At 48.8% G+C, this 12643-nt stretch overlaps 2 annotated features.

The window, feature by feature from the left end:
• Positions 5418–5577: an enhancer, noted in NCBI's record as "active region_23172". NCBI's record gives its function as "activates an Ori minimal core promoter by ATAC-STARR-seq in GM12878 lymphoblastoid cells {active_cell/tissue: GM12878}" and the evidence as "EXISTENCE:reporter gene assay evidence [ECO:0000049][PMID:35858748]".
• Positions 6402–8947: an enhancer, noted in NCBI's record as "VISTA enhancer hs1473". NCBI's record gives its function as "enhancer in: limb[8/9]" and the evidence as "EXISTENCE:transgenic organism evidence [ECO:0001131][PMID:17130149]".

Raw genomic sequence — 12643 nt, 5'->3', positions numbered from 1 at the left:
TGGCAAGCCTGAGAAATGCAGCCTCCAGGGGTCAACTTCCCCGCAGTACAGAGCAGGGGATGAAAGAGAGAATCACGGTCCTGACGACAAACAGCCAAATGGCCAGTACAGAGACCATGGCCATGTCAGTGCCCCTCAGCCTCGCCTGGGGCCCTGGGGTGGCCACCAAGTAGGGAGAGCAGGAAGGAGAGGCCACACCACAGAGGACTCCACCCTGCAGGGACTCCTGAGGGGCAAACATAGGTCCCCACCATCATTGTCACCCCAACCTATGTGACCTTCAGCATCTGTAAGGATGGAGGGAGGAGGGCAAGTACCACAGATGAAGCACAGAGAAGACCCAGGTACAGCCTGGCTGGACCCACACACAACTCACCCAGATGCCCTGCTTTGAACACCAGCTCCCGAGATAGGCAGAGGGCAGGGCAGAGACACCTGTCCTCAGGAAGCCAACAGGCCCAAATCCCACTGCCTTCCACTTACAGAATCCAGAAACTTCCTTCCTCCCCCAAGCCACTTTTCCCTCACCTATACAATGGGGATACTATGAGTACCTATCTCACCTCTGTGAAGATGAAAAACACAACATGAGTGTGCCAGGTGCAGGGCTGGGCCCATTTCACATGCCAGTCGGCTGGAACCTCCCACTGGCAGGCAGAGCCCTGCCTGTGGCAGAAGCCGTCTTGGACATGTCTGTAGGTGAGCAGCCACCTACACACAGTAGGTCCTCAGTCAGGGCTCTCTTGACAGGAGAGAGAGTTGAGAGGAAGAATTTGGGTGGGGTGAAAGCAGACCACTAGGGTCAAAGCTCTGAGAAGAACCTCAGTCAAACCACAATACAGCTCCTGACAAAAAGGGGAAAATATATTTTAAATAAATAAGTGCCCTGAGTGAGAAGAGGAAGGGTCAGCGGTCTTGCTCAGTGAATGGAACCACGGTATCCAGGGGACCCTGAGCCCGGAAGCCCATGGCAAATTCCAGCAGGGCCACGCAGGGCCCCACACCCCATCCCTCTGCTACCTGCCAACAGGGTTTCCTGTTTCCAGATGGGCCTCGTCTCCTTGGTGTGACACGACCACCCAGCCCTTCCCACTCAGAAATACACGCACAAGGTCCAGAGCTCCCAAACTTGGAGAGCTGCCCCGGGAGTATTAGAAGCAGGCAGGCTGGAAGCTTGACGTTAGAGGCTTCCAGATCCAGCGCTGGGCCTCATTACTGGGAAACACATGGTCGTCCCCTGTGGACACTCTTGGAGGCCAAGGCAGGAAGCTAATCCTCGGGGGTCTCTGTCTTTCAGTTTTACGTTCCTCTTCCCCTGGGCCTACAGGGTCTGTGGTTGCAGTGCAGAATTCAAGCCAAAACATCAGAAAGCCTCATGTGGTCTGACTTCTCCTTCCCCTCTCCATTCCCCAACACACACACACACACACGCACGCATACACACACACACACACACCCCTGCATACACATATCCATCCATACATACACACATGCATACACACATACCTGCATGCACACACACACATGTATATACACATGCATACATACACACACACACCTGCCTCTGGGCTCTGTCAAGCACCCCAGGTAAAGTGTTGGTTAGAAAACCACATGATAATTATGAGCTGTGAGTTTTGCTCCACAGTTATAGAAAGGGAAAATACTTCCACTTGAGATTCTCAGCCCGCTTTACACACCGGAGTGAATATTTTGGCTTAGCTCAGAGGAAAACAGAAGCAGAGAAGCGACCCCACTAGAGGAATGGTAGGGGAGCATGCTGGGAAGGTCAGAGTGTTCTGGATAAAGGGATGCATGCCGTAAGAGCTGGCCACAAGTTCCTGAGAAGGCTGGAACAGCTAAGTCTGATGAAGAAAGCACTGGATTGAAAGGAAGACGTTCAGCATGGCTGAGCGATTCTGAGAAAGTCACCAGGAGCTCTGCACACTTCATTTTGCCCATCTCTACAGACAGAATTGTGCTGACAAATGTTTAGCAGCTCTCTGAGTGGCAGAGGCGCTCTGATTGTAGTGTTTGCTGATGTCCGTGATGTAAATTGTCTTACCACAGTCAACTTCAAGGTATCAAAATGACATCACTGAATGTGGAATTGGAAAGAGACACACAGTAAGCCCACCATCATGTGGCATTCCCACCACACAGATACAATCAGTGTAAATAGCCCCAAGGCCATAGATATAGTAAGGTATAGTAAAATAATTAGGAAGCAGTGAGTTTTGATTTATTTATTCACTTTGTATTTAATATCATTTTGCCATAAGTTCATATAATTGTTAATAACTTAGTTACATTAAAAATTTAACAGTTTAATGAGTCATTAAATATAATTTAATCATTTAACAATCAGCTTTTATCAAACACTGTGAGACAGTTCCAGCGCACCACTGCATGGAAAAAGTTCCAGACCCTTGTGCTCAAGTGCTGGCTGGAAAAACAAGTTAATGTCTTGGAAATAAACTTGGTACCTAAGCAGAAGCCCTGGAAAGGCCAGAGTTACCATTCTAAGAAACACGTACAATATTTTGTTATTTAAAAGTGAATTCATTTATATTTATCATACTAGATATTTAAAATAACTTTGAGGATGTTAAACCATTCCATGGTATAGATGAGGAAACAGGATCAGAGAGGGAAAGGGAGGCCAAGCCCACTCAGCTGGCATTTGATTTACTCTAAACCCCTCTCTTGTCTCCACCCCTCCCTTCGTGGCCTTGGTGAGGGGCAGCCCACACCAGCACACAAGCTCTGACTGCACTCCACTGTCAAAGCTCACCTTACAGGCATCGCCAGACACGGTTCACAACTGGAGTGCCTGTGCCAGGCCTGGACTTGGCCCTCTGGCTTTAAGGGAATATTAAGTAAGAGGTCACACTCACTTCTTTCCTAGGACTTCTGTCACAGAGCTCGGGGACAGTGACATTCAGAGGGTGCCTTCCTTCCAAGATTGGAGGAAAACACAGCTCTCTGAGATCCACCCATTTCTCTGCCCTCTGGGACACAGGATGTTGGTGTCTCTGCTAAACTGATCAGAAGGCAGCAGAAGGGCTTTAAACTCAATTCTCTGAGCTGTAGCCAAACCCCAAGGCCTCCTGGACACCGAGAGCTGGACAGTGCCTGGCTGACCACCCAGGCTGCATGCAGCGTTACCCAGCAGCCCCTTGGAGATCCCCAGACAGGCCACCACCCCGCCCCGCAACATGGAGCAGCCAGCACTGGATTCCAGGACCTCTGCTTGGGGCTCAGATCCCAGACCCCCAAACTCACATGTGGCTGGAAACCAGCCCCCACAAAGTCCTCCCGTGCAAAATGAGACCTTCTCCCACCTCCCACCTTCCCCCAGCTTGGCTACTTCCCCTCCAGCTTCTGGGTAGGAGATACTCCATTGCCCAGGCCACACCCCCTCAATCCTTTGTCATTTCAAATTTTCTGGCATGTAGGTTTGGTATGCTTGGCTCTTTTAAACATCACGCTTTATGGCCCTTTGCAGTGTAATTTCGTTCCTGTCCTGCCATTCAATTTGAATTAAATATCAAACAGATGTGAGTCATTTTTTTTGCTCTTTTTAAAGAAAAAGTTTAATATTAGAGAGCATGCCCTCCTATAAGATCAGGAAAGCCATTTGGAGAAATAAGCCCCTTCAAATTAAAAAAGAATCACATTGATTAACGTTAAGATGCTTTCAAGTGATACATTTCGAAGTGCTAAGGGAAGGTGTTTCCAGCAAGCTATAAAGCAGCCCGTAGAAAGAAGGGGAAGATATACGGCCCAAGGCTGATGGGGAAATTGGAGCTCTGAGAAGGGGCAACCCCACCTGGGAGGAAGCTCTGAGCTTGGAGATGAGGTTCACAGATGATGTTGGGGGAGGCCATCTTCCCTGAAGGCCTTAAGCGGGCCCCTGTGCTCTGCAGCCTGTGTGGTCAGGCCGGGAAGGGAAGCGTGAAGGAGCTCCATTTTGCTCAGAGAGCTGGCCTGGCCTGAGTGCCCATTCCTCTTCCTCACATGCGTGTGCTAGCTTGGCCTGTCTCCCTCAGCCAGCTGTCCCCAGTGATTTTGTATGTCTGGACATGCTGAATGGCTTAATCCACTCATTCCTGCTGCAGTCTCTCGGGTAGTGCAGTCTTTGGCTTTTTGTGGGTCTTGGACACCTCAGAAAATGATAGCTATGGCTTCTCTTTGCACATAGGAACACACGCAACTTGCATTCAACCTCAGGAGCCTATGGTTTCCTGGTGTAGATTCTCCCTCTTCCCCCAGCCCAAGACAGCCAGAGCGTAGAGCATTCCATTACCAGGACACTCAGTGCACAGGGCCAAGGCCTTCCTCTCACAGAGAACGGGAACCTATGTTTACTGAGCACCACGTGCCTAGCACTGTGTAGGGGCTTTTGCATGAGCCAGAGGAGCTGGTCGGTCTCCAAACTGCTCTCCCTTCTTGGCAACATGCATACCTGGAACTCAGTGTTATTGGACCTGCTGCCGTTCATGGCTACAAGCCAGGGCTGCTCCTAGCGCCGCCTCAGGCTAAAGTATTTCCATGTGGTCCTTTGACTCACTGCACCTAAAGGCAGCTCTCCAACGACAGCCGGCTCACTACAAATGGCATTTCCACGTGGCAGGGCAAGGAGCCAGAAGGCATCTGATTCCAGCTGGTCTTGAACATCCTGGACCCTGGGACAAGGCTCTGCATACCCAAGGTTTGCCTCTGGGATGACGTGCAAGTGCCCAGAGACCATGGGGAGCATCAGGCCCCACTGATGAGAAACAGAACCAACACTTCCTAGAATTCCTCAGACAAAAGAGAAGTTGAGTTGAGGGATTTAGAGCAAAGAAAAGCCTAGACTTCGGTCTCAGACAGCCAAAGTCTGGATCCCAGCTCTACCACTTACTGGCTCTGTGACCTTAGGCAAGAGCTCAACCTCTCCCAGCCTCAGTTTCTTCTTTCTGTGAAACAGGAGTATCACAGGTCTTACAGGGTGTCTGGGAGGATAAAATGGGGGTGCCTGTGAAGGACTCTGCACCGTGCTTGACCGACATTAAGGCCTCAATGTTTGGAAATTATCTTTTTGCCCCCTTCCCTCCAAGGTGACAAGCCTCCTATCTGATGGTGCTTGCTGGGGCCTGGGGGACTGGGAAGTGAGTCACAGCAGGCTCAGTCCCTGAAGGAACCATACCGATGGCCACAAGAGGAGCCGCAAATGCAAAAGGAGTGTGCGTTACTGTCTCATAATTCCTGTTTCAGGGGAGGGAAGAGGGGGGAGGGGAGAGGGGAAGAAAGCAGCAGAAATATCTGCAAGTGGTTTTAGAAGAGGAATTGAAATTCACAAGCCACTGCTGCCATTCCAACCGTTATTTTCATCCACGGCAATTCAGTCGCAATGTACCGAGATTCATCCTGAGAGCCTTGGGTGTGGGGGCTGTGGCGGGTGCAGCACAGAAATGGTGAGGCCCAGCTTCTGCCCTCCAGGGACCCAGGACCACATCCAGATTCCAGAAGGACTCTGAGCTCAACCTGACAAAGGCTGGTCTGGGCAGAAGGGGTTTCTGAGCGGGGCAGGGACGAAGTCATACCTTGAAGGATGGGCCGTCTGCTGAGAGAGAGGGACAGCCCCTGGCTATGCCTTGCTGCCCACTGGGCAGGGGCCCAGGGACAAGGTAGCCAGCTCTCTGAGTTCTCCATTTAGCCCCCTCCACCTCCCAGCTCACATAGCCCCACACGACAGACATTTATTTGTGTTTCACTAAGAACAAGAGGTCCTTTCTAAAGGGGCTGCTCGCTGCCCAGCCTGGAAACTCGTAACAGCAATGAAAACACATTTCTCTTACTCTGCAGCTAACAGGGTCAGCAGAGTGTCACTCAGAGTCCTGAGGATGTGGGTGAGGCTCCACTCCCAGCCCCTCCTCAGGAGCCCAGGTCTCTCTCCAGGTGACAGGGGCAGGGGGAGACATGAGGCCCTAGGCTGTTAAAAGGGGCTTACTATGACGGTGGCTTAGCCCCATAGCCTCCAAGATCCCCAGGATGCCCAGTCTGAGTCCAGAACCTCGTGTGGTGGCCACATGCATTCTGTTGACTGTTTCCGTGTTCCCTACGGGGCAAAAGCTCAGCCACAGGCTTTTCTCCAGCGTTTGGGACCACATACATTCTGTCCTGGACTGATGACATGGAGTCTTCTCCTAGTAGGAACTTGATAACTTAGACACATTCATATCTGTCTCTGCTCTTATTTAATTTTCGTGTTTTAATATGCATTTAACTACGTGGATAACTGAAATGTATTTAAATAAACATTTACTTACATGCCCCTCCAATCTTCCTCAGGGTACACACTTTCTCACAGTTGTAATCAGGCTACACAGACTCATTTTCCTCAGTTATTTCTTGGAATTTCATATGGCTCCATCCTTGTCATATTGAGCTTATTGGTTACACATTATTATGTCACAATACACCTTAGTCTATAACTAACCAATGAGCATTTTAACTGGTTAAAATGTTTTTGCAATGGTTAATGTAATACTTCAAAGTATTCATCAAATACTTTTTCTTTGGAACAATTCCCTTGAGAATGTTCCCAGGGGCTGCATGCTTTGTGGATCCTCTATGTGCCTGATGTTTTGCAGACTATCTCATTAATCCATGTGCTGATCCAGCAGACTTTGTTCCTATGATGCCCATTTTACAGATGGGAAAACCAAGGTGGGTAGGGTTGGAGTGGACATTTGCCCAGAGCCAGCCAGTGTGTCTCCATGAGCCATTTCTTGGAATGCCCCTCCCTCCAGGTATACTCTAAGTGTAACGGGAGCCCCGAGTGCCTTTACCCATGGCAGTGAATAACAATGGTGGGATGCTTCAGTGGCAGTGAAAAGCTGGTATGGGATGAAGAAAGCTGCTTCTTCAGCCTCTGAAACCACTGCTACAGATGGCCATCTTGAGCCAAGCCCAGGGCTGCCCTCCCCGACCCCTCCAGAGACCCTTTAAGTAAAGGAGGAGGTGGTTTTTGGATCTCTAAGCCCCTCTGAAGATGTGAAAATGGGGGCAGGTCAGCCACATGAAGCGCCAGCTACAATGTGTAAACACACCTCAGGGCGATGCTAATCTCCAGGTCAGGCCCTGGTGCCACCAGCAGCCCACTGCAGACACAGAGGCTGGGGTGGTTCTGGCCAAGGGCGCTGTGTGATCTCGTGTCCATGGCAGAATGTCACCGGGTTCCCAGGGCCAGGCAGCAGACCACTGGTTGGCACCTCTGTCTGCCCTGCAACGGTGTGAGTGCCCTGTCCAGCCTTCCCTAGATGCAAAGCTGCCACAGTTGCCAAGCCAGAGAGGGGCCCATGGGCTCATGCAGGCATCTCAGCCCCTGGTTGTGCCCCTGGGTGAGGTGCACGGGGCTAATCAGAAACACCTGTGTACATGGAATTTCCTGCCCCAGTTCAGCCTTCATTTCCTCTGCCAGTAAAAACCCAAGACGTGCAAAGGTGAAAGAAACCAGCCAGTCAATCACCCAGACGACGGCCACCAGGGCCGCAGAGACAGGACTTTCTAAATTAAATTTTAATTCCCACCCGATGGCCCAGCTGAGACAGCCATGATTCAAACCTTGCAACGGGCTGCCTTGGCCAGGCAGACCTTCACCCAGGTCCTTGCAGGAATTAACCCCACCCCCTGGCCAGCGGACGGTGCTGTCTGCCTTGGCCATCGGGTTGTAGAATGAGACCCCAAGAATGAAAGGGACCCCCTTTCCCTTCAACTTCATTGTGCAGCTGCAAGAGTTGCCCAGCTGATTAGCTGCTCACTACTTCAGACTGAATTATTAGGTGCTGGAGAGATCAGAGCCCGCCAGTGACTCGGGGACATTTAGCAAGACAACATCAAAGGCAGGGGCTGCCCGGGTCCAAAGTGTAGGATAACGGTTAGAGCCCGAGGGTCTGGGCTCTGTCCTGGCGCAGCGGGTTTAGGTGAGGAGAGAGTCGTAAAAATGCCTCCGTTTTTCCAGAACATTTTTCCAGAGATTCCTGCAGGCTCGGGGAGGAGGGGCTTGGCGTGAGAAGAAGAGAAGTATTGAGCTGCCCACTTTATGGTCAAACAAACTGCAGCATCTTCTGGGAGAATGACTTGCCTGACCACACAGCTGGCTGGGAGCAGCTCGCCAGGCTGAGCCCATCACCGGAGACTGAGTCACGACCCCCATCTCCCAACCTCAGCCAGACATGGGAGGGACAGGGAGGTGGCCTTTAGAGGCAAATATCCAGGGGTAAGAACTCGGGCTTGGGAGTCATGGAGTCCTGGACACGAAGCCCAGCTTGTGCCCTTCTGCAGGCTGACTTTCCCCAGTCTCAGCCTCATGGTCCACAAAATGGAAAATAACTGTAGCCCCCCCTAGCCCTAACCCTCATAGGATTGCTGCAACGAGAACAAGGGCAGAGGGTGCTTTACGCTGAGGAATGTGATGAGCCAGGGCCAGATGGGGCGACCTTTGAGAGAGAGCTTCTGCTTCTCTGCCTGTGGCCTATCAGCGACAGTCACCACGGGAGCAGGAAGAGATGGCCCTCCCTTCAGGAGGATCTGAACCCCTGCTGGACACCACTTCCTGTCAGCCTTATGTCCGGCACCACCATGGTGAGACACATATGTCCCCCTCTCCATTCTATCTGATTGGCCTCCTTGTCAAGGGGCCCAAATGCATATCACTGGCGATGGTGGGCGAGCCGGCAGGGTCAGGAGTACTGGCACAAATCCTCCTTAGTTTTGCAGAAGCAACTGCACAAGAGAATGTTTGGGATCTTCAGGGCAGCAGATGGGGCTGGAGGCCATGGGCCGACTTCCCAGCAGAAGGACTGTGTAGCGCTCCCCAGGAAGCAAAAAGTGTCCCAGGGTTTCAAATCTGCCTTCTTTTAAAAATAGCTTTATGATTTTTAAATGATCCATACCCGTGCTCTACTGCAACTACATACAGTAACAACATTGCTCAACAATGTTGAGCAAAGCCAGCCAGACACAAATGAGTTCACACTGTGTGATTCCATTTATATGAAGCTTAAAAATAGGCAAACAGAATCTCTGGAGTTTAAATCAGGAAATGGGTCAGCCCTGGGGGGTGGTGACTGGAAGTTGACACTGGAGGTAAGAGCGCCTGTGATGTTCCCTGATCTTGGTGCTGGCTACATGGGTATGACCACGTAGTGAAATCCCCTGAGCCACACACTTATGACTTGTGCACTTTTCTGTATGTCTGTTATATCCAATAATAAATTTCCTTAAAATAAATGGTCAGGCTCATAGCAACATTGTATGTACAAATAAATAAATATGAAACATTGGGCCAGGCACAGTGGCTCACGCCTGTAATTGCAGAGCTTTGGGAGGCTGACACAGGAGGCTTGCTTGAGGCCAGAAGTTCAAGACCCGCCTGGTTTTAAAAATTGCAACAACAAAAAAAATGCATAAAATAAATATAAAACATTGATCCTTATTGAAAAAATGTTTTTTACAATAGAAAATTGGAAACATGTCATTTATCCTACCATCCAGCTTAATTCTTATAATGTTTTATTATATTTCCTTCCCACCTCTTTCCATGTACTGTGTATGTATATTTGGTACTTTTAGTATTATTCTTATATGTAAAATTATAGATCTAACTTTTTTCTTTGTGTCATATTGTGAAGATTTTTGTACACATCTTTAATGACTTCTAAAAACTATCCTGATGAGTATACTATGCCACCACATGGACACATCATGCTTTAACTTAGTGGTTCTCAACCGGAGTGGATTTTGCCTCTCCCCAGAGGACATTTCACAATGTCTGGCTTGGGGAGAGGATACTACCAGTATCCAGCAGGTAGAGGCCAGGGAAGGTCTGTGTCTTGTTCACTTCCATTTCCCAGGGGGCTGGTCCAGACCTGGCACCTGGTCGGGGTTCAGTAAAAATCAGTAGGATGAAAGTGACCCTTCCTCTTTCCTCCCTTGCTTGTGAAGATGACCTGTACTTACATTTGAGTTTCTAGGCCAGGCTCTTTTCTGTCTTTTTCCCTGGATGGGACATATTAGAATAGTTTTTGAAAATGTGTCTAAGGGACTCAGGGTGAAAGTGCAAACCAATCTCAAAGAATACCTGAGTTGCCAGGCAGCAAGAAGACACTGGCACACATTCTCAAAGATGAGCCCAGAAGATATTTCATAATTGCCCAAGACAGTCTCATTACTTTAGTCTAGTAATTATTACTAGACATTATTATAGTCTAGTAATTTGCTTACTTTACAGGCAAGGAAAAATTTATTCAAAATATACAATATATTGTGCCGATTACTGGGAGTAGAATACTGGAAGAGAGATCATATACCACTGATGGAAGAAGTACAAACCTGACCCTGGCACTGGGAATATTAGGGAGAGAGAACCATCTCTCTCTCATCATTAAGGCACGACCATCTTCAACAAAACCAGAACCCAGAGTCACCTCCTGCCTCTGGCCTTTGCTGGACCCAGCAGAGGAGGCTGGCTGGAGAAATGCAGGGCGGAGAAGGAACCAGGACAGGGCTCTGAGGCCGCCCTAGAGATGGGTAGATGGCACTGCAGGGCCCCAGATCTCAGGGCCACCGGGTTGATTTTAGAGTCACTGCTAGTCCTTTGACCCCAAGACTGCCATAATCAGACTCAGCCTGGATAAACTAATGTGCCCATCCAGACTCTCAGACTCACTGGGGCTCAGTGAGCCCCTGGACCCTGCATGGAGTGGCATACCTTCCTCCTCGCAGTGTGGAAAGTGCTCTGCTTTCAGGACAAGCTCTGAAAAGCAGCATGAACTGTTTTGTTTTCTCGTTTTGTGCAAGAAAGCCAGTTGGCATACCCTATCTGTATTTCTAAAGTGGCCATGGATTACCTACATCAGAGGCACTTCGGATGCTTGTTAACAAGGTACATACTGGGGCCCCACACTGGACTTCCTGACTCAACCAATCTGGGAGCAAGTGCCAGGAATCAGAATCTCAATAAGCTCTTCAGGCAATACACACACACACACACACACACACACAATATACACATATACATACATATATACACACATATATATACACATATACATATATAAAACATAAAACATGTCATTTTAACCATTTTAAATATTCAAGTCAGTGTAATTACAATTCACATTGTTGCACGAACATCTTCACTGTTTTCAACATTTTGTGTGTGTGTGTGTGTGTGTGTGTGTGACGAAGTCTCACTCTGTTGCTCAGGCTGGAGTGGAGTGGCACGATCTAGGCTCACTGCAACTTCTGCCTCCCAGGTTCAAGTGATTCTCCTGCCTCACCCTCCCGCGTAGCTGGGATTACAGGTGCCCATCACCACGCCTGGCTAATTTTTGTATTTTTAGTAGAGACAGAGTTTCACCATGTTGTCCAGGCTGGTCTCGAACTCCTTACCTCAGGTGATCTGCCTGCCTCGGCCTGCCAAAATGTTGGGATTACAGGTGTGAGCCACCACGCTGGGCCGGTTTCCAGCATTATCACCCCAAACAGAAACCCTATCCCCATTAAATAATAATGTTTTCCCCTTCCCCCAGCCCTTGTAACCTCTAATCTACTTTCTGTCTCTGTGAATTTACCTAGCCTAGATATTCATCTAAATGGAGTCATACCATATGTGTCCTTTTGTCTCTGGCTTAGCTCACTCAGCATAATGTTTGCAAAGTTCATCCATGTTGTATCATGTAACAGAACTTCATTCTTTTTTATGGCTGAATAATATTTCATTGTATATATGCACGCTACATTTTGTTTATGCATTTATCCTTCTATGGACACTTGGGATGTTTCCACCCTTTGGCTATTATGGATAATGCTGCTATGAGCATTAGAGTTCAAATATCTACTTGAGTCCCCGCCTTCCTTTTTGTGTTTGTGTGTATACCTAGAAGTGAAATTGCGGGGTCATATAGTAACTCTATGTTTCACTTTTTGAGGAACTGCCATACTGTTTTCTATAGTAGCTGAAACATTTTCTATTTCTACCCACAATGCATGAGGGTTCCAGTTTCTTCACATCCTCACCAATGCCTGTTATTTTCCTTTTTTTTTTTTCTGCCTAATGTGCATAGCTTTGGGATGTGGGAGGAAACCCGAGTGCCCAGAGAAAACCCACGCAGGTATGTGGATAATGTGCCAACTGCACACAGACAGTGGCCCCAGGCCGGAATTGATTGTTTTTTTTTCTCATCAATCTTATAACGAAGCAACATTGGATGAATGGACATTATGGGAGGACTCACTGTATAGCCGTCTCAGTAGGTGCGAAGTGGAATCTCACTGTTGTTTTCTTCAGATCATTCTCACACACGCTAAAGTTGGAGAACTCTGTTGTCAATAAAACAGAGCACTCAGCAGAGAGACAGGGACCCAGGGTAAAGAGAAGGGGATTTTTGTCACTTTTCAAAGAGTTCATTTTTTTAAAAAACAAACGCTGGTTGCTAATGCTGAGTTCAGTGGCCCATCGAGAGCATTCCATAGTCCTGAAGTGAATTTGAAGAGTTTGGGGGCTGCAAAGACTGGATTTAGAGTTGCGAGGCTGCAGGCAGGCTTGCGTGAGCGGGGCAGCGGGCCAGTGTGGGTGACAATGGTGCTGTGGAAG

The sequence above is a fragment of the Homo sapiens genome, chromosome 5 (assembly GCF_000001405.40).
Source record: "Homo sapiens chromosome 5, GRCh38.p14 Primary Assembly".
Classification (NCBI taxonomy): Eukaryota; Metazoa; Chordata; class Mammalia; order Primates; family Hominidae; genus Homo; species Homo sapiens.
The sequence above is the reverse complement of the archived record's forward strand: the minus strand, read 5'-3'. Positions and strand labels throughout refer to the sequence as shown.